Genomic DNA, 23,300 nt, shown 5'->3' with positions numbered 1-23,300 from the left:
TTTGTGATGATTAATTTTAGGTGTCAACTTGACTGGACAAAGAGATACTTACATAGTTGGTAAAGTATTATTTCTGGGTTTTTCTGTGAGGGTATTTCTGGAGGATATTAGCATTTGACTCGATAAACTAAATTAACAGCTCCCCTCAGTTTCAGCAGGCACTATTCAATAGGCTGAGGGCTAAGAAAAAACAAAACGCTAAGCAAGGGCACTGCTCTATCTCCTGGAAAAAGGATGCCCTTCTTCTTCCCATTGATATCAGAATTCCAAGTTCTCTGGCTTTTGGACTCTAGGATTCACACCAGTAACCCCTCAGGTTCTCAAGTCTTTGGCCTCAGATTGAGAGTTTCATTGTCAACTTCACTGGTGCTGAGGCTTTTTGGATTTGAATGTTGCCACACTACTGGCTTTCCTGGTTCTCCAGTTTGCAGACTATTGTGAGAGTTCTCAACCTCTGTAATCATATGAGCCAATTCCCCTATTTAGTCATCTGTCATCTTTCTTTCCTTCCTTCCTTCTTTCCTTCCTTCCTTTCTCTTTCTTTCTTTTCTTTCTTCCTTTCTTCCTTTCTTTCTTTCTTTCTTTCTTTCTTTCTTTCTTCTCTCTTTCTTTCTCTTTCTTTCTCTCTCTTTCTCTCTCTTTCTCTCTCTCTCTTTCTCTCTCTCTCTTTCTTTCTTTCATCTGTCTATTTATCCTATTGAATCTGCCTATCTGAAGAATCATAATATAGGATTCAAAGGAGATTTGAATAGATATAATAAAGAATTAGCAAACTTAAAGATAGGGCAATGGAAATTATCATATCTAAGAAATAGAAAATAAATTGAAAAAAGTGAATAGAATCTAAAGGACATGTGGGACAACATTGTGTGGTTCAATTTACAATTTGTCTGGAACAAATTACAAAAGTTCCAGAGGGAGAATAGAGAGAAAAAACAACAAATAAAATATTTTAAGGAATGATTGCAGAAAACTACCTAAATTTGATGAGAAAATGATCATTAACATTTATAAAGCTCAGTGAACTTCGAGTAAGATGAACTAAAAGAAACCTATACTAAACAAATCTTTGAAAGACAAAGACAAACAGTTCATATTGAAGGGAGCAACAAGGCGGCGACTCATCACATACATGGAATCCTCAACGGAATTTATAGCAGGATTCTCACCAGAAACTTGGGAGACCAGAAGGTAGTGGGCCAATATATTTGAAGCACTAAAAGAAAAACAACAATGTCAACCAAGAATCCTGTATCTGGCAAAACTGTCCTTTGAAAGTGAGAGAGAAATTAAGACATTCCCAGATAAAGAAAACCTGAAAGAATGTGTTAACACTAGACCTGCACTACAGGAAATGTTCAAGGGAATTGTGCATGTATGAAGAAACACTACACAGTAAGTTGAAGCTGTGTGAAAAAAAAAACTCAATGTAGATAAATATATGAACATTATAAAATCTAGTATTATTGTAACACCAATTTTTAACTCAATGTTATTTTCTTCATGATTTAAGAGCTAACACATTTTTAAAAAATACAGTTAGTCTAAAAACTAGTATTACTTCATTTGATTTGTAATTCTACATCTTGTTTTTTACACAATTTAAGAGATTAATGCATTTAAAAGAATGATTAGTTTGTTTTGAGGCACATAATACATAAGAATGTAATTTGCTGACATCAACAACTGAAAGGGGGGAAGTTGGAGCTGTAAAGGAGCAGAGCTTTTCTATGTTATAGAAGTTAAACTGTTATAAATATAGGTTGTTATAAGTTTAAGATGTTAAATGTAATCCCCATGGTAACCACAAAGAAAATAGCTATATAATATACAAAAAAAGAAGTGAGAAGAGAATTTAGGCATTTTACTACAAAAATCAGCTAAATAGAAAAGAAGTCAGAAATGCAGGAAATGAGGGCCAAAACAGATACAGGGGACATAGAAAACATTTAGCAACATAGCAGCAGTAAGTCCTACCTTATTATCATGATGTAAATAGATTAAACTCTGCAACCAAAAGACAGAGATTAGCAGAATGGACAACAACATATAATTCAACTATACGCTGTCTACAAGACGCTCGCTTTAGATCCAAAGACATAAATGGTTTGAAAGTGAAAGGACAAAACAGATTTACATGCGAAGAGTAACCAAAAAGGACAGGACTGACTCTATATACCAGTATCAGACAAATTAGAGATTTACGTGAGACAAAGGCAGACATTATGTATTAATAAAAGTTTTTATACAACAAGAAAATTAACATTGTAAACCGTTATACACTTAATAAGAGGTCATATATAAAGCAAAAACTGGCAGAATTGAGAGGAGAAATACATAGTTCTACAATAATAGCTGTAGACTTCAACACCCAACTCTCAAAAATTGGTAGAACAAATAGAAAGATAAGCAAAAATTTTAAAAACAAAGGAATTAGACAACATAACAAATTACCTAGATGTTGTAGACATATACAGGACACTACCCAGCATACACATGTGCATACCTTTTCTTCTCAAGTTCACATGGAGCATGATCCCCTATAGACCATATGTTAGCCCAAGTTAAGTCCCAATATATTTTAAAAGATAAATATCAAAGTATGTTTTCTGACCATGCCAGAATGAAAATAGAAATCAATAATAGAAGTAAAACTGGAAAATTCACAAATATGTCAAAATTTATTGACACATTGTTAAACAACCAATGGTCAAAGAAGAAACCACAAGGGAAATCAGAAAATATTTGGAGATTAATGAAAATAAAAACAAAACATACAAAAATGCATGAAATATAGTGACTTCAGTGCTGAGGGAAGTTTATAGCTATAAATGCTTTCATTTGTTAAAAATAAAACAAAAAAAAAAAGAAAAATCTGAAATAAATAATCTAATTTTACGACGTGAGGACCTAGGGGGGAAAAAAACAAACTAATCCCAAAGAAGAAGAAAGAACATAATAAGTATTAGAGGATAGATTAACAAAATAGGAAAAACAATAGAGAAAATTAATTTAACCAAAGTTAATTCTTCAAAATGATCAACAAAATTAGTTATCCTTTAGCTAGATGGACTGAGAAAAAAAACAAAAGGCTCCAATTACCAAAATCAAAAATGAAGGTGAGGTATTACTACTGAATCTACAGAAATCAAAAAAGGAGTATAAAGTAGTATGACGAACAATTGTACACCAACAAACTGGATTACCTAGATAAAATATATACATTTCTAGAAAAACAAAACATGCCAAGGCTAAGTAACAAAGAGATATAAAATCAGGATAGACCTATAACTTGTAAAGACCTTAAATTAGTAATCAAAAATCTTTCAACAACAGTGACAAAAAGTCCCAGAGGTGATTGATTCACTGATGAATTCTAACAAATATTTAAAGGAAAACTAAAACCAACCTTTATTAAGCTTTTCACACAAAAAAATGAAAAGGAAGGACCACTTTTTAACTTATTCTGTAAAGCCAGCGTTACCCTGCTACCAGCCAGCCAGAGACAGTACAGAAAAATACAGACCAATATCCCATATAACACATTGATAATGCAAAAATCCTCAATAAAATACTAACAAACTAATTTCAACAGCAAATCAAAAGGATTATATAACACGATTGAGGAGGATTTATTCCTAGAATGCAAGGATATTTCAACAGACAGTGTGCTGGTTTCCAACTTGTTTGCATCTGATAAGACAGAACACCCATGCTTGCAAGGTAAATAAAGAGGGTTTATGACTTACAGACAGGCAGCAAGGAACAGTAAAATCTTAGGATTCAATCTGAGCAGTTTCCCAAGGCTGAGGAAAGCTGCCTGGTTGCAGATGGAGTCTTACCATCAACTGGAAAGCTGAAGAAGACTGGAAAACAGCAAGCTCTTGGTCTTATACCCTAGAGTAAAATGTGATTCACTGGGCTGAAGAATTGAAGTACATCCTGTTTCTATGGTGGGGGTGAGGACTAGAACAGAGCCTGAGCTGTTCCTGTCAGTCTCTTCCTATCTCAGGACATTACATTCCAAGCACGTTTTAACAATTAATCTTGAGAACTGTAACTGAGTAAAGGGGAAAACTGAGTTGATCTAAGGCCACCCAGAGAACTGTCCTGTGCATACAAATATTGATTAATGTAATACAACACATTAACAGAATGAAGAAAAATAATCAATATGACCATTTCAATTGGTGAAGAAAAAGTGACATTCAGCAACACTTCATGATAAAAATACTCAACAAACTAGAAATATAAAAGACTATCACAACATAATAAAAGCCATATATGAAAAATCCACAGCAAGCATAATACTCTATAAAGACTGAAAGCTTTTTCTCTAAGATTAGGAACAAGGCAAGGATACCTGCTTCCGCTACTTCTATTTAGCATAGTGCTAGAAGTTCTAGTCAGAGAAATTAAGCAAGAAAAAGAAAACAGTATGACAGTTTTTAAAAAAATTATGAAGATAAAAGGCACCCCAAGTAAAAAGGGAGAAATACACTTATTCCTGTTCAGTGATGATGTGATCTTATATGTAGATACTCCTAAAGATTCCACAAACATTTAAGAACTAATACATATATTCAGCCAAGTAGCAAGATAAAAATTAACAAACAAAAATCAGTCGCATTTCTATACACTAACAGTGGACAATGTGAAAAGAAAAATTTTTAAAAATTATTTATAATAGAATAAAATAAAATACTTAGAAATTAAATTAGCCAAGGAGACAAAAGAATTGTATAATGAAAACTATAAAACATTGCTGAAGGAAAATTTTTAAAAGACATAAATAAATGGAAACGCATCCCACGTTCATGGATTAAAAGACTTAATATTGTCAAATATCCAAAGCAATCTACAGATTAAATTAAATCACTATAAAAATCCCAATGACATTTTCTGGTAGAAATATAAAAATTCACCTTGTAAATTCACCTTGTGGACTCTTAGGAACCACAAATAGCCAACACAACCTTATGAAGAAGGGAAAACTTTGAAGATTCACTTCATGATTTCAAAACTTAATACAAATCTACAATAATCGAAACAATGTTGTTGCCGGGAGTGGTGACTCATGCCTGTAATCCGAACCCTTTGGGAGGCCGAGGTGGGCACATCACCTGAGGTCAGCAGTTCAAGACCAGCCTGGCCAACATGGTGAAATCCTGTCTCTACTAAATATACAAAATTAGCTGTGCTTGGTGGTGTATGCCTGTAATCCCAGCTACTCGGGAGGCTGAGGCAGGAGAATTGCTTGAACCTGGGAGGCAGAGGTTGCAGTGAGCCAAGATCACGCCACTGCACTCCAGCCTGGCCAACAAGAGTGAAACTCCATCTCAAAACAAACGAACAAACAAAAAACAGTGTTGTGCTGGCATAAAGACAATCATATCAAAGAACTGAATAGAATAGACAGTTCAAAAATAAACACTTGCATATATGGTCAAATGATTCTGACAAGGATTCCAAGACAATTCAATGGGGAAAGGACAATATTTTGAATAAATGGTGCTGGGACAACAGGATGTCTACATGCGAAATAATGAAGCTGAAGCCTTACCCAATACTATATAGAAAAATTAACTCAAAATATATCAAAGACCTAAATATGTCTTAAAACTATAAAACTTTTAGAAGAAAACATAAGTCGTAAGATTCACAACGTTGAATTTGGCAATGATTTATTAGATATGACATCAAAGGCACAGGCAACAACAGAAACATAGACAAGTTAAAATTCATAAGAAATTTTGTATATATATGTGTGTATATGTATACATATATACATATACACATATATATATATACACATATGTGAAAGAAAATATCAACAGATAAAATTCAACCCACGGAATGGTATTTGCAAGTTATATATCTGACAAAGGATTAATATCCAGAATTTTTACAACAAAAATAAAAAATCTAATTAAAAATGGACAATAGACTTGAAATCTCTCCAAAGAAGATATACAAATGACCAATAAGCACATAAAAAGATATTCAATATCACTAATTATTAAGAACATTCAAACCAAAACTACAATGAAATACTACAACTTCATACTCATTAGAATAGCTATGATTAGGAAAAACAAACATCCAGAAAAAAAAAAGAAACAGAAAATAACAGGCATTGGCAAAGGTGTGAAAAACTGCAGCCTGTGTGCACTGTTTATGGTAATGTAAAAATAGTACAGCCACTTTGGAAAACAGTATGGCAGTTTTTTAAAAAAATAAAAATATAATTACTATATTATCTAGTAATTTCACTTCTGAGTATATACCCAAAAGAATTTATAACATGATCTTAAAAAATGTTCCTATAGTCATGGTCTTAGCATCACTTGTAGTGTAACAGGTTTCTCACTAGTTTACTTAAGTGTTTGTGTCCTCTGCTTGAAGTCTGAAGGCTGGTCAGTACTCAGCCAAGAAGCAGGTATCCTTAAGAACCCAAACATCCTGGAGCATATCTGGGAAGATGCCAAAGGAAACAGTCCCATTGCATTCACACAGTAGGCAAAGAATCAGAAAATTAGCTTAGAAGCAGCTGAGAAATGGAATGCAGTGCAGATCTCTAGAGCTGTCCTGCTGCCATCCAAGAGTACCCTGTATATAAGTTCTGATAAACTCATCTACTCGCCGGGCCAGACTTGTCTCAGTCATTCTTTGGTCTCTCACTTCCCTCCCAGTTTGGGGAAATATTTTTCTACACAAATCTGGGTTTTTCTCATAACATCATTATTCACAGTATTTAAATTTCGGAAGCAACCAAGTGTCCGTGGACAGATGCATGGGTGAGCAAAATTGATATATACTTTCAATGAAATATTACTCTATTGTAAAAAGGAAGGAAATTGCAACACATGCTACAACATAGATAAGCCTTATGAACACTATGTTGTGTGAAATAAGCCAGTCACAAAAAGACAAATATTGTATGATTCCAGATAAATGAGGTACTTAGAGTGGTCAAAATTGTAGAGATAAACAGCAGAATGGTGGTTACCAGAGGGTGTGGAAGGGGAAAATGAAGTGTTGTTTAATGAGCATACATTATCAGTTTTTCAAGATGAAAAGAGTTATAGAGATGGATGATGGTGATAACAACATATTATGAATGTACTCAATATCAATCAACTGTAAACTTAAAATTGTTCAAAATAGTAAATTGTATGTTGTGTGTATTTTAACAGAAAAAAGGAAAAAGGTAATACTAGGAGTTTTAAAAGGGACATTAATTATAGATAAGAAATGCAGAAATATTTTATGGAGATAAGTATTTGAAAATATAAACATTACTTAAATAAAAGACAACTAACATACGTTTATATCACTGTAACCTTTTCTCCTCCACTACTTAATTTTATGCATGTTTAAGAACCTACCTGTGACATTTTCTCATATACATAATAAGTATTTCAAATTATATCTGTAACTTAGAACTTTATTTTAGTAAATCAAACTCTGTTTTTACCAAACTCTATTGAAGAGAGAAAAAAAATCTATGTATTTTGGCTGCGAGGAGAAAATGACATCCAGAAATCAGGTCTCTTTTCCCAAAGTAGTCCTGTGACATCACTGGGAAAATTTAATTGTCACAGATCCTGTTGGAAAACCATTACATTAGATAATTGCTAAGATCCTTCAAGCTCTGTAGTGCTATTATTCCATGAGGATATGATTACTCCAATGATTGATTTATATTTTTACACAAGGTGACTATTCTCAGCAATAATGTCACTCACTAACTATGAAGAGTGGTAACTTACATAAGGAGGTGAAAAAAGCAATATGTAGTCATTTTCTTTTTAAGTCTGAATGATTACACTTTGTTGTAATTTGTCAGTGAAAATACTCCAAGTTTAAAACTACAACTGAGTTATTTCACTGGTTATAGAGTAGGCCAGTTCAGTCAAGTAAAGATTAAGTAACCACCATGTGTTATGAGAGGAAAAATATAGCTATAGGCAAAAAAATTACAGCTCTGGAATAGATCATATTAATCCATTCTTTCAGGTAATAGTTATGTATCAAGGCCTATGGTTTATTAGCATTGCTCCTAATGTTGTCCAAACTAAGCTATATTGTTATCAAAGACAACACTCCCTATTCTATTATCTGAGCAAGATGCCAAATAATTTCAAGTGATAAAAAAAAATAAATACAGGGGACCAGCTTACAGTTCTGATGCTTCTATTTGAAATTTATTTATATCCTACTGCTCAAGGTCATCACCAAGGTCTGATTGCAAAAATTAAAAAAAATTGCAACCTCAGGCACAAATGGGTTAATTTGACAGGTAATCATTCCTGCTAATTTTGATATTCCTGGTGGTTTTCAAATGCAAGTTATGCATAAGCTGTGGTAACCAGCATTTTTTTCAACATTTCCAAAGAATAAATGAGCTATTCAGGATACCTAAGAAGAAATAAAGCATGATAACTTCATATCATATATTTATATTTCATTCCTATTTAGAAAAATGAGAGATAATTTAGGCACAATGATGTAAGCAGACAATAATATGAAGCCGAATTTGTGTAATAATTTTTTGGAACAGGTAGCACGTATACGAAACACAATCAGATTCTTTTCCATCATTCTCCATTCATCTTATTCTCAAGATGAATTCTTCCCCATCTCTGTAGAGAAAAAGTAAGACATATCCTATATTCTTCTGATTATTTTTTATAATAAAAGAGCTTTCTAGGTACTTCCAGTCAAAAGGACAACCTTGGTTCAATAATCAACATGCATCTTTATTCTGGCTTGTTGGCTTCAACTCCTTTGTGGATACCTAGATATTTGTAGATGCACCTTCATATTCTTCCTGTTGAGGTCTTCTCAGCCCCTTAGCAAGCTGTCTTGGATGGTTTTAAAACAACCCATGCTAGCTCCTACATGTTCATAGCTCTGATCTGGTACATGGGGTAGGTGTTCTAAGCATCCTTTGCTCTGGAAAACTCTAGGATATGAGGCAAATCCTAATGCAGCCACCTTTCCTTTCTCCATAGACAGTACATTTAGAGAGTAGTTATATTAGACTGAGGAAAATCCTATTTTACTATATCTCCCAAGTTCCAGGGTACATAAAGTTGTGCCTCTTAGATCCTTGTTAATTGGAAGACTTGTTGCACTAGCTGCCAATTCAGTCTCCAGCTGTTGTCTATTTCAGGGTTTGCATCAAGTTCATAGAACCGTTTTTCACAAAAGTATGCTATTTCCTGAATGATCTACATCATTCAGAGGTATAAAAAATGCAGCCATTTTGAGCCAATAGAGGATATTTCTGATAGGGCGTATTGGTTTTTTTTAATTATTATTTAAGTTTTAGGGTACGTGTGCACAACCTGCAGGTTAGTTACATATGTATACGTGTGCCATGTTGGTGTGCTGCACCCAGTAACTCGTCATTTAACATTAGGTATATCTCCAGATGCTATCCCTCCCCCCTCCCCCCACCCAACAACAGGCCCCGGTATGTGATGTTCCCCTTCCTGTGTCCATGTGTTCTCATTGTTCAATTCCCACCTATGCATGAGAACATGCGGTGTTTGGTTTTTTGTCCTTGCAATAGTTTGCTGAGAATGATTGTTTCTAGCTTCATCCATGTCCCTACAAAGGACATGAAGTCATCATATACCCAAAGGATTATAAATCATGCTGCTATAAGGCATATTGTTATAGAGTTTCGGATAGGGTTGACTGAGGCTTTGAAGGACCTGCATTGCAGGGTGACTTCTACCCAATCCCACTTCATTTATTCCTCCTTTTCCATAAAAGTTGATCTTGAAAAAATATCCTGAAAACCAACCTCCATCAGAGTGTCTACTGCAAAAGAATCAAATCTGAGACATTCTGTGGAATTGTTATTCATTCATTTTAGTATTTGGCATCTATTGTCTTAAGGATCCAGCTAAAAAAGATACTAAAATGCTTATTATGTGTGTTTTTATACATACATATTACTGAAATATTCAACAATTCTGTGCAATAATTCCTTGGACAGAATATCATTAAACTTGTTCCAGCAAGTCTCAAATTTACCTTGCTGCTGAGTTCTTGGTAATTTGCATTTTGTCCTACATGGCACTAAATTTGTTTGCAATGTAATTGCCTATTTATTTTTTCTTTTTACTAGTATACTGTATAATGAAAGTTATTTGCTGATAGTATGTGTTCAATAAAATATTTTGAATGAATGAATGAGAAAAATATAAACTATCATGTAAAATATTTTCATACCTTATTAATATTATTTTCCTTCAAAACTACAAATTAGATGCTATGAACTTTATAATTTAAATTTGTATAACAAACACATACATTTATATAATACAAAAATTTGATCAGGTTATTTTATTACTTTAACCAGTGTAGCAGTACATCTCTATTAACAAAACATTCTTTTAAAAATATTTAACATTACCTAGGATTAGCGATATCTATATCTCAGTAGGTATTATAAATTTTGGAAATAATCTAATAATTATTTCATTAGTATTATTTTAGATCAACAGCTAATGTTTCCTGATGTTTAACTTAGTTTTGTTTTGTTCTGTTTTATTTTTCAGAAGAACATAGAAAATAAAATTTCGTCATGTTCATTAGGGCAGGCTAAACTATTATAAAAATAGACTAAAACAAATGATAGCTCAAACACGAAAGTGTTTCTTTTTTTTTTTTTTTTTTTTTTTTTTGAGTTGCAGTCTGGAGTGCAGTGGTGCAATCTTGGCTCACTGCAAGCTCCACCTTCTCTGGGTTCAAGGGATTCTACTGCCTCAGCCTCCCAAGTAGCTGGGACGATAGCCACACGCCACCATGCCTGGCTATTGTTTTTGTTTGTTTTTTGTATTTTTAGTAGAGACGACAGGGTTTCACCATGTTGGCCAGGCTGCTCTCAAACTCCTGACTTCAGGAGATCCGCCCGCCTCGGCCTCCCAAAGTGCTGGGATTACAGGCGTGAGCCACGGCACCTGGCCAAAAGTGTGTTCTTTGATCACATAACTATTCAAGGTTGTTTTAGACTGGCAGGTGATTCTTACCCAACTGTTGAAACAAAAACTCAGTTTTCTTTTTTGGAGGCTTCAATAACATTCTAGATTATTGCTAAGGAAGCCCCATTGCTGAAAGTAGAGACATTGTATAAGAAACTCCAAAGTATATAGTTTGAAAATATGCAACATTATGTCAATCTTATTTAGTCTCCATCTGCTTTTTAAACACACATCTCAGACATTATGTCTTTTCACACATAATACCCCTACATCCATCTTTAAATATGTATGGACTTCTTTTTTAGTACACCACCACTATGTAATTATCTCCCAACAAAATTAATAATAATTTCTTCTTATTGAGTCATAACATATTTCTAATTAAATTTATCTGATTGAGAGACCAGAATTCTAACAACATCTAGTTGTAGAGAGCTAGCAACCGCTTTCTCTCTCAAAACTTTTGATACAGACTGTCAAATGGCTATTTCAAGGACTGAGAAATACATAAATGGTCATTTTATGGCCAGTTTTAGAAGTTTAGATTTATTTGTGGATCTGGTATACTCTGCAAGGACAGACTTGCAGTATTCAGTAGACTGATTTTAAGATTCTCATAGGGAAGCTAAGAAAAGCATGTTCCCACATTCTAATCCTAGAGATTTTGTTTCTGTAAGTCTGAATTGAGATCTTGGAATAAGCATTTTTATCAAACGCCCAGGTGATTCTTCTCGTCATAGTGATATAGGAAACAGCATATGGATAATGAGAGAGTGGTAGGAAGAATTCTAAGATGGCTCCCCAAATTTTATACACACAACTTCTCCCTTATTTAATCAAACACTAGAAACTGTTGTAAAGGGATTTTGCAGATATAAATAAGGTCTCAAATCAGTTGCCTTAAGATTATCCTGGTGGGCCTGACCTCATTACCTGAGCCCTTTAGATTCAGAGAGTTTTCTCCAGCTGATTACAGAATGGAAAGTAAATGAGACTCACTCCATATGGTTTGAAAGAAAGCAAACATCCATGTAGGTATGCATTGATATGAGAACCACATGGAAAGAAACTGAGTTGTCTTGGCCATGATCTATTAGGAAAATGGAGACCTCAGTTGTACAACCACAGGAATATCAATTTTGCGAACAACTAGCATATTAATTTCCTGTGGCTGCTATAATAAATTACCACAAACTTGGTGGCTTAAAGCAACAGAAATGTATCCTCTCACAGTTTTGAAATCTATAAGTCCAAAATCTGTATTACTGGGCCAAAATTAAGATTTTAGCAGGGCCAAAACTCTCTCTGAAGGCTCTAGGGGAGAATGTTCTTGGCCTGTTTCAGCTTCTAGTGGTTGCCAGCATTCTGTGGCCACATTAGTTCAATTTCCCAGGCCAGCATCTTCAACTCTCTATCTGCTCTATCTTCACATAGCTTTCTCTTCAGTGTGTGTATTTGTCAAATATCCTTCTGCCTCCCTCTTGGTTGCAGTTAGGGACCACCAGAATAACCACAAGATACTTAATCACATCTGCAAAGACTTGGCCTGATAAAGTAACATTCACAGGTCCCAGTGATTATGATGAGAGTACCTGTTGGTGGGTCAGTTTTTAACCTACCACAACAAGTGAGACTGGAAGAAAAGCATAAAGTTCAAATGGAAACTCCAGCCCCAGTGGACACTTTTATTTCAGTCTGATGATGCCCAGGCAGAGAACCCAGTCATGTCATGCCTGGACTTCTGCCCTCTATGGCAATGAGTTAATAAATAAGTGTTGTTTTTAAGCTGCTATAGTTGTTATTTGTTACACAACAATATAAAAATCAATACAGAAATGAAGAGATTTTTCTTTAATTGGTTATACTATAATCTTTCCTTCCTGCAAAACTTCTCCTTTTATGTTACACAGCTCAATAAAGAGCACCTTCTTTCACTCAGAAGTGCAGCCTATAAACTTGAGAGTTGTCAGGGACTCCTCTTTCAGTCCTAAACTCCTCCCCCAAATAGCCAATAAAGGCATTGCATCATATTTCCTTAATATTTCAAATCTCTATCATTCTCTTCATTATTATGGTCAGTATCTTCATTCACACTCTGCACCTGTGAGTAGACTTTTAACTCCAGCATCAATTTGTAATCCCAACCTGACTTGAGCCTCTTCTTAACAAGGCTGACAAAATGACATATCTAAATATTAAATATAGTCATGTCACTTTCCATCTGAATACCCTGTTTTCTTCCTGTATAATTCAGATAATAAAATCTAAGCTCCTTATCATAAATATGTACAATTTGCTATACATTTTAAACTAAAGTGGGGAAATCTTGTTCTTGATGCATAACATTTTGAGCCCCTGAGAATATGAAACATTATCTTCTGTAGTAAAGTTTTATGGAAAAACTTGAGAGCCCTATGCTAGCCTGTGTATAGGCACCCTCTGTCCCTTCAAGGTTTCACCCTGCTAATTGCAGGGATCCTATGCTTAAATAAAAAATGATCCCCTTAGAATCTTTATCTGCTATCCCCAGGCTGGAATAGGCACTTCTCCTATGCCTTTATAGTTATCCCATTACCATCACAAAATACTCATTTACCTGAGTGCCATGCCAGTTTCATTCTGTTATCAATACTTAATGCCTAATAGAGTGCCCAGCATGTAGGTGTTTCTCAGGAAATGTTTATTTGTAAGGAATATGCCTGCACTGCAGCCAGGCAGGCATAGGCCAAGGTAAACATCCTGTGTGACTCAGCGAGTTTGGAGCGCAGGAGCGTAACTCCACTTATTACATAATCACAGCTATGTAGCCATAACATGGGAAGGCTCATAACCTGGCTCAGAGCAACTATTGACTGTAAAAGGTATAACTGCCCTGCTGACACTGTATAGGCACACTTGCATCCAGAGAAAAAGAGGGGGAGCCAGAGCTTTCTGTCTTTCAGATAGACGGGGGGAGCCAGGACCCAGCTCAGCTTGCTCGCACCCAGAGAGAGAAAGAGTTAAGCTGTTGACCCTGTAAGGGAGAGCCAGCCATGCAGCTATGCATGAGAGTGGAAGGAGCTGCAGAACAAGAGCAGGCAACTAAGACAGAGACAGACAGTGTAAGGAAGCTGCTGAATAAAACCATCTTTCACCTGCCTACAGCCCCCCAAGTGTTCTTTCAGCAATCTGCCACTCTTGCACTCACTCCCTTCAGACCTCAGCATGGGCTGGAACCTGACCCTGGACATGACATTATTAACTGAAGCCAATGAGAAGATAAATGGGTAACTCTTGAATATGTGTTGGATATGTTTCTTTTTCTCTAGCTGAATTTTAAAGAATGTCTAACTTATGAAATAGGCTGTCAAGGAATGAGGGGTGAGGGGAGGGACAAATAGCTAATGGATGCATGGCTTAAAACCTAGATGATAGGGTGATAGGTGCAGCAAACCACCATGGTACATGTATACCGGTGTAACAAACCTGAACGTTCTTCTGCATGTGTATGCCAGAACTTAAATTAAACAAACAAACAAACAAAAGGAATAGCAGTTCTCTTTCATATATTTCTCAATTATGTTTTCATAGTACTTATCAAAATGTATTGTAATTGTGTTATTATTGGTCAGACTTGTGTAACTGTGACTTTTAAGCAGGATATTTCCTTTGGCTACTGTATTAGTTCCTTCCATGCTACTAAGAAGAAACACCCAAGACTGGGTAATTTACAAAGGAAAAAGGTTGAATTGACTGACAGTTCTACAGGGCTGGGGAGGCCTCAGGAAATGTACAATTATGGCGGAAGGGAAAGCAAACACATCCTTCTTCACATGGTGGCATGAAGGAGAAGAATGAGAGCTGAGTGAAGTCAGGAAAGCCCCTTGCAAAACCATCAGATCTCATGAGAACTTACTCACTATCATGAGAATAGCATGGGGAAAACTGCCCCCATGATCCAATTACCTTCCACTGGGTCCCTCCCATGACACATGGGGATTATGGGAACTATAATTCAAGATGAGATTTGGGTAGGGACACAGCCAAACCATATCAGCTATAGTCCAGCATATAGCAAAATAGCCTGTGCATATTAAGTATTTAATAAATATTTTGACTCAAGAAATGTATAGTGAAAGAGAAAGGGAGGGATGAGGAAGAAATAAATTGGGAGGCTAAGTTATTTTGGGGAAATTTGATGGTTAAAAAACTGGCACAATGTGGTTGGAAATGGAAATGTGAGCACTTTTTTGTTTATTTTCTTTATTTTCATTTTTTTTTTTGAGTGTGTGCTTTGGGAGGAAGCAGTATTCATTATAGGGTTAGAGATTGAAAATAAAGGAACTTAGACCAGAAAGATCAACTTTACCAAAAAGATGCAAAGGTGCATACTCGAGTGTATAGAAGGGGCTTCTGTTCCCTCTAGGCAACTTTAGAGGTAGAAAAGAAGAAAATTTAGAAAAGTTCCAACAGATGGCTTCTATTTTTTTTTTTCTTAAATAAGAAGCAAGGTTGCCTGTTGAGCGTAGGAGAAGCGGGTGGGATTCTCTGCTTAAGGAAGGGTGTTTGGGAAGGATTTGTAACAGCCTCTGTGGGCTGAATGAAAGCAAAATTTGGTGATCAAGAATAGGTGCCTTGATATTCAGATATTATTGCAAAATTACAAAGGACAAGTTGCAGTATTCTCCTTGTAAATCCCTGCATTTAGTATTCCTACTGGCAAATCCCTTCTGCTCACGTTTGCCAGATTAAGCCTAGTAAGTATTATTTTGTTACAATAAAGACTGTGCATTTTAAATGCCGCCATAAAGTTTACAAAATAATTATTTAATATGTACTTCATGATAAATATTGAATACAGAAATGATATAAATAAAATTTATCTAGTTTGGCTTTTGTAAAACCAAAAAGACTATTCTGTCATAGACACACTTACACACCCACACACACACTCTTTCATTATTATATGTTAGAAAGTATTAATAAACTATATGCTACCAAAGATGTAATCTCGATTATAAAGCTAAAGATAATAGGGAGTGCTTAAAAAAGTCAACAAGGATATTATAATTTCTGGTTAATAACTGTGTATTTTGCCATAACTGATTACCAAATGCATCATTATATAAGCTCCATTGAGTTCTCCCCAAACCAACATTGCACTGAGCTTTTTGGAATGTACAGGATATCATTTAATCAAGGGACTGAAGGGAGACAGCGCAAAACAGTGAGACTAGGTAAATACAAAGGTAAAAATTTGAGCTATAAACTACCTGTACTAATGGCAGTCATTGCTGTTATGACACTGACTCTAGATATGAAAAACCATTTGAAGCCCAATATGATTTCATTTTAAATGATATTAAAATAAGAGTAATTGGACCTAGATTAAGTCATCTTATGCACATTCAATCATGTTTCCACAAATTTCTCTAACTTTTATTTCTGGGTGTCTGACTATTGTGGGGTATTTTTATGCCTACTCTACAGTGATAATTATTTTCATCACAAAGAGTAGCACTTTTATCAAGAACTTTGCAACAGACTCGGTGCTACAATTCCTTCATTAAAACTGTTAAGTGAAATTGCCAATACTTGCTTTATTGACAAGGATCGTAAATCTGTTATCTTTCACTTCTGAAAGGTTTCTTGTTATAAAAAAAAATCAACACCTGCTCAGAATTTAAAAATATGTATATATTAATACATTGAAATAATTTTGTTATAATTGCTATTTCAAAATACTGTTCTAGGGTCCCCGAAAAAGTCTAGAAAAGTAGGATTTAGCAAACCTGTTTCATATGCCTGACTGTCATTAAGGCAATTCAAATCATCTCGCCATGCTAAAATGCTTCAAGATTGTGGAGCTAAATAAAACTCAAATTGGTGAGTAAATGGCTCATACTTAGGAGAAAGCATGCAGATAATAAAGAAAGATTAGATGGAAGTATTTCAAATACAAGAAATGTTGGAAAGACAAGCTGTTTATTAATTTCTTTCAGCAAATATTTATGTAGTAACTACTGTGAAAGAAAAGCTGTTTGTTGTTTCAACAGATATTTATGCCACCATACTGCTAGTTGCTGAGACAATAACTATGGAAAAATCACAGTCCTTGGCTTCAATGCCAACAATTGGAATTATATAATGCAATTGTGATATTTTAGGAATTGCAAATAATTCATTATTACTGTAACATAAAGCATAAAGGTTTATGACAGGAGCTGGGTCTGGATAAATAGCCAACAGAGCTGTATAATGAAAGTCTTTTACAAAACAAAAAGATCCCAGTGGAGGACCTTATTTCTTCTATGAATCATGTGTATTTAATCATAAGAAGAAATATGTCAAAATTGATTTAAGGATCAAAATGAAATATGTACTTTTGATACATCCCTAGCTTAGACAAATTAATGCAATTACTTTAATTAAAGAAAACACAGTGTAATATGCATGTATGTTACAGATTGACTATTCCCAATCCAAAACACTGGAGACCAGAAATGTTACAGATTTCAGAGATTTTCAGATTTTGAAACCGTAAAGTATCCCTAATCTGAAAATCCAAAATCCAAAGTGCTCCAAAGAGCATTTCCTTTGAGTGTCATGTCAGTGCTGTGCTCAAAAAGTCAGATTTTGGAGTATTTTGGAATTCAGATATTCAGATATGGGATTATAAATAACATATATATGTACACAATATAAAAGATATAATATTTAGTATAAATCATTCTCAGAAAATCAGGAAGAGATAACAAAAGGTCAAATAGAAATGACAAGCTTTATTTTAAAATGGTGTTGGAGGGAAATGTGAGCTATCTTGTTTGTAAAAATAAACACCGAGGCTGGGCGCGGTGGCTCATGCCTGTAATCCCAGCACTTTGGGAGGCCGAGGTGGGCAGATCACGAGGTCACGAGTTGGGGACTAGCCCGGCCAACATGGTGAAACCCCGTCTCTTCAAAAATACAAAAAATTAGCCAAGCATGGTGGCAGGCGCCTGTAATCCCAGCTACTCGGGAGGCTGAGGCAGGAGAATCCCTTGTACCTAGGAGGCAGAGGTTGCAGTGAGCCGAGATTGCACACCACTGCACTCCGGCCCCGACGATAGTGTGAGACTCCGTCTCAAAATAATAATAATAATAATGATCGAATTAAAGAATATTCTTATGGCATTCATTACAGTGAAACAAAATTCTAAAGTAAAACCAGTTTAATAGAAAGAACAAAGAGTAAAACTATTATATAGTGTGGAAGTAATGAGGCTAAGCAATTAATTACAATGTAAGTCTGAGAACTTGACCCGATGATAATTCTTGTATAAGACTTTTCTGTGATTTGACCAACAAGAAACTATCCTTTCAAGCCTGCAGAACAACTCAGGAAATAATCAAAAATCAGTTGCTCAACAGTTCCTAGAAGAAAGGAGGCAAGAAATTAATAATACTAAAGCAATTTACAGCATGAACATGTTATCAATAAGAAAGAAATTGATAAGGATATTGGTGAAGAGGATTTCCAAGTTTAAATGTGGAAATAAATCACTGATTGTACTAAATATTTTTTAATTACAAAAGAAAACTGAGTACAGGAATGACAACAAAGGGCATTAAAATAGAAAAGAGCTGTGCCATTTTTTTTCAAAAGTTGTTTATATCTTCCTGGTTAAAATTATCAGAAGCACAAATAATAGAATAAAGATGATATTAAAGATACTTGAAAAACAACTGGGCCAAACCAACTGTCATATAAATTGCCTAATATGGAAGCCTCTGTTAGCTCAAATATAAACTGATGATGCAAAAGAGATAACACATGCCCAAGGAACTGTGGGAAAGAAAACGTGCAAATATACCTCTTCTCTGAATGTAGCCTAGTGAAAGACGGCGTGAGAGGGCATTAACATGAACAGCTGTCTATTAACTGAACGTAAGTCAATTCATTTAGCTGACATAGCTCTTTTTTTCTGTATGTCTTTTTTTCAGTTTCCATGCATCCTTCGCAGTGAAAGAACATCAACCTGAGGGGCAGGAGGAGGAAAGCACTTGTCTTTCATAATAAGCACTTCTCTCTTGTTAAAACATCCAGAATGAAAACTATTTAGGCACATTTAATAAGACATTCCTCTGTGATTGTAAATATCCTCTGATGTTCTAATTTTCTACTTCCAGTTATCTTTTGGCTTTTTCCAAAAGGCAGGGATCTACAAGGGCACAATTCAAATTTAATAGAGCAGGAAAAGGCTGTGTATTTTTTAGGTCAGATCACCCTATCTAGAAACAGTTTAATGTCCTTAATTAACTTGCTTTTATTTAATGACCCCTGATTGGTATCCTGCTATGCCCAATGTACATCTTGTGTAGGGTTTTCAGCCTTACATTTTTAGAAAAACACATCTTAATTAACTTAATTACTGTTTATTTCACATGGAAAAGTAGAAAAATTATTAGTGTCATTTGTTGAGGCAGACTGAATAAAAAGCATGGAATTGAAGTCAAGAAACCTGAATTTAGTCTAAACATAATCTGTAACCAAGTGTTTAGTCTTAGTTGAGGTAGCTCTCTTCTCTAGGTTTAATTGAGAGACATGTTAGTATTGGAGTTAACAGCATAAATTTCAAGACGGACTATCCATTTATGTACTTTCTCCATAGCTAATCCCATAAATTTGGGAAAATATTTCTAATTGCTTTGAGCTTCAGTTTCTTTAAATGTAAAATTGGACTAATAATAATAATACCTACCTTATAGAGCTTTGGTACATGTGGTATATGTTAGCACTGTATATGTTAAATAAGGATAACTAGAGTATTTTATTGTGAATGACTGTTCAATTTTTTCAGATAAATTGCTCTTGAATTTGCCCATAAGCACCTACTCAATGTTAACTATTTTTATTAGTATGATAAAAACAAAGACATTTGAGAACCATAGAGAAATAGATCTAAGCAATATTTTGAGTAACAGTGCACTGTTGGGAAGACATCCATGAATTTCATCACGTTTGTAAAGGCTATATGCTTCAGTTATTACTGCTCAATTTAGTGGAATAAAAATGTTTTGTAATGCTTGTGGATTCTGTGGATCAGGAATTTTGGCAGGACATAGCACTATGACTCCTGTCTGTTTCATTTGTCTGAGGCTTCAGTTGGAAAGATCTGAATGATTGGCATGATTAACAGAGGCTTTCCTATTACTATTACTATATAATACAGAGTCCTAAAGTTTTTTATTTTTATTTTTATTTTTTTTATTAAGGTCATGGATTCTGTGTTCCATGAATTTAGAAAGAACATCACAGCTGAAAATACTCAAAAGGAAAGAGGTAGAAGAGCTGAGGCTGGGGGATCCACCTCTGAGATGTCTTTGTTACTTATATGTCTGGACCTGGGCTTGAGAGGCTATAGGATGTGTTCAGCAGCTACTGATGACCAGAGAGCCAAAACATAGATTCTTCATATGGTTTTAGCTTCTCACAGCCTGGTGGCTATGATTTTTTAGAGATCTTTCAGAGAAAGCATCCTAAAAGAATGAGCTGGTGTTGGCAGTCACTTCTGCTGTAATCTATTGGTCAAAGCAGTCACAGGTCAGCCCAAATTCAAAATGGCCTCTCAATGGGAGAATACCAAAAGACTTCTGGGGCAATGTTTTAAAACCACTGCAGAATTTAATGTAAAATATCAACAACCACTTTTGTCCTTTCCAGGTCTGACTTTTATGCATAACCACTTCTTAACAGTCAACTTTTGAACATTCACGTCTTTAAACCATTCCAATTTCCATCTAGCTTTCTGTTCACCTTAAACTTTTTAACATATTGAAAAGTAAACTAATCAATATTTCCTAAAATAAGTTTATTCTCTGGGCCTCCCTTGTTTTAAAAGAAGAGCATCTGACTAAAATAATATCTAATATGACTTCGTTAGAAAACTAAATTCAGTGACATTCTTGACATTTCTCTAGTTATCTACTTCTACATTTATTCCTCAAATATTTTCAAATCTTTTTTTTCTAAATTCTCTCACCAATGAATTTTTTTTTAAATTTTCCTATTTAACACTAGTGCAAACATGCATTATAATTCGTGGGGCCTATTAAATATTTTTCTTGTTTGACAAGATTTTTATTACATTCTTCCTTCAGCTGCCCCTCCACTTTGCAAAACTGTTTGCCCTAAAACAACGCAAGGTAAATATTAACCACTGATTAAAGAGTTTTGATTATTCCAAAGTTCACAGATTAAATTTAGGATTTATTTTTCTCAGGGCACTTTTGTTGAAAACTTTGTGTCTAACCTTGCAAGTTTTGTTATTAATATATGATGTGAATGATTATTTGAATGGGCATTTGGGAATAGATGCAGGCATAGAACTACAGAAAATACAAGCAATAGCCCCAGGCTACTGCAGAATCAAATTTACTCCCGTTGATGTTTTAAGACTACATTGACGCTGACCTTGAGAGGAAAGAAAATCTACTCTCAGAGCAGCACAATCATGGCCAGATGGAGCCCAGTTGACAGCAACTTTAAAATCCATGCATTTAACCTTGTCCAGATTAAAGTCCTATACTCTTCATTCAAGCCAAGTTTGTCTGCACATTGGTCTCCTTTTACAACAAAACCCATTCAAAATTCTTATTTTTTCTCACATTTTCAATATACATGAATTATCTCTTCTCTCCTTTTCGTTTTAGCAAGCTGGCAGTTCCCACATTTGTTTAAACGTCAGAAGTTCCTTAATCTTAGAAAGTTTTTTTATAGATCCACATTTTTTAATGCTAACCCCAGAACTACTAATTCAGTTATGGGACAGGGACAAAAAAATCTGTATTTTGTCAACTGCAAATCTGAGGCTGTATCAACCCCAGGAGATCCTAATGAGGCTGACTAATGCCAGATAACTATTAGGAGAAAATGTTCTAAAGATAACTTAATAGGCCTCCACTTAAATTAGAGTTCAAATATCAATTTTTTAAGAATCTGTCTCAATCTTGTAAAAATGAAACTAAATACTCCACTATCTGACCATTTTCAAAAGTTTCTAAGACATCACATTATAGTAAAAGGGCCTGTGGTCTAGGGAGAAATCAGATAATTTTGCTTCTATTTCTAGCCTGGTATAAACATGGTTGGTTATACTGCCTTCTGAGCATCTTTATCTGGTTTTCTTTTTCATCTGAAATACGAGAGTGATGACACTTACTTGCTTATTTCCTAAATAGGTTGTGAACGTAGTTGAATTAGTAAACTTAAAAAATAACTTTTAAGTACTAAACATGTCTATTACATTATTTAGAAAATTATAGCCACTCGTATTTAAACTATGCTATTTATTTGCTTATTTTTATTTCATATTTAACTTCTGTAAAAATTGTTCTTATTCTACCAATAAATTCTTAACACTTTAAGGGAAAGAATTTAGTGTCCTCAAATTACAGCATTTTCCCTTTTCCCAGATGTGCTACCTGTTAAGAGTTTTTAATATTAACTATATGACTTACATTAGACAAAACTAGACTCATTTATGTGAAATTCTTTCCCACATTTGATCCTGGTAGGATGCATGTGACCATGATTCTCAATCAGAGTGACAACTTAATTCTTTCTCTTTTTTTTTTCTTTTTCTCTCTCTCCTTTTCTGTCTTTATTTTAGTCTTTAATAGTATCCTTGTTACGAGACTTCCCTTTGAATTAAAGATAATGCATATTCATTTTAACATGCCAAACAATACATAGATACATCAATACAAAGTTAATAGTTTTTTTACAATCTCATTCTAATTATATCATCTCAGAGGTAAGTGTTAAGTTATATTTCCTCTCTTATTTTTTCTGTAAGCTCAAAAGAAAAAAAAAACGATGGTCACACAGACCAGAAAGTGGGAGGGGTTCCAAAGTGGCATAGTACTACATATCTGGGCACACAGGCTTAACCCACAGATCGGGTTACATCCATGTAACCAGACAGGTAACAAGTAAAATGGCTAAGAAATGAGTCAATAGAAGTGGTGGGGATTAGGACTCATTGCAGACTTCTCTCTGTCTAAAAGTGGCAGTCACCAGGAGGGAATGCAAAGCTAGCGTATCCAGATTTTCCAGGTTTTGAAAAGACAAAAAAAAAAAAAATAGAGAAAGAAAAAGAAGAAAAAAAATCACCTGATTTAGTTAAAATATACTAATCTTGAAAACTCTATGAAGACCCACATAAACACATTTCTAAGTACAGTCAAATCTGTTAAATAGCTTCTTTTTGGTTTCTTGATGTCTAATTTATTACTAAACTATGATAAGACTCTCATTATATAATACCCAAAGGGTGTGTT

General features: G+C 34.6%; 1 annotated feature.

Annotated features, from left to right (window-relative positions):
• Positions 13,586–13,880: an enhancer, noted in NCBI's record as "tiled region #14942; HepG2 Activating non-DNase unmatched - State 9:DNaseU, and K562 Activating non-DNase unmatched - State 24:Quies". NCBI's record gives its function as "activates a minimal TATA promoter and a strong SV40 promoter by Sharpr-MPRA in HepG2 and K562 cells {active_cell/tissue: HepG2 | K562}" and the evidence as "EXISTENCE:reporter gene assay evidence [ECO:0000049][PMID:27701403]".

This window comes from Homo sapiens, chromosome 13 (genome assembly GCF_000001405.40).
Source record: "Homo sapiens chromosome 13, GRCh38.p14 Primary Assembly".
In the NCBI taxonomy this organism is placed as follows: domain Eukaryota; kingdom Metazoa; phylum Chordata; class Mammalia; order Primates; family Hominidae; genus Homo; species Homo sapiens.
Note: the sequence above shows the minus strand (reverse complement) of the source record. Positions and strands in the feature narration are given on the sequence as shown.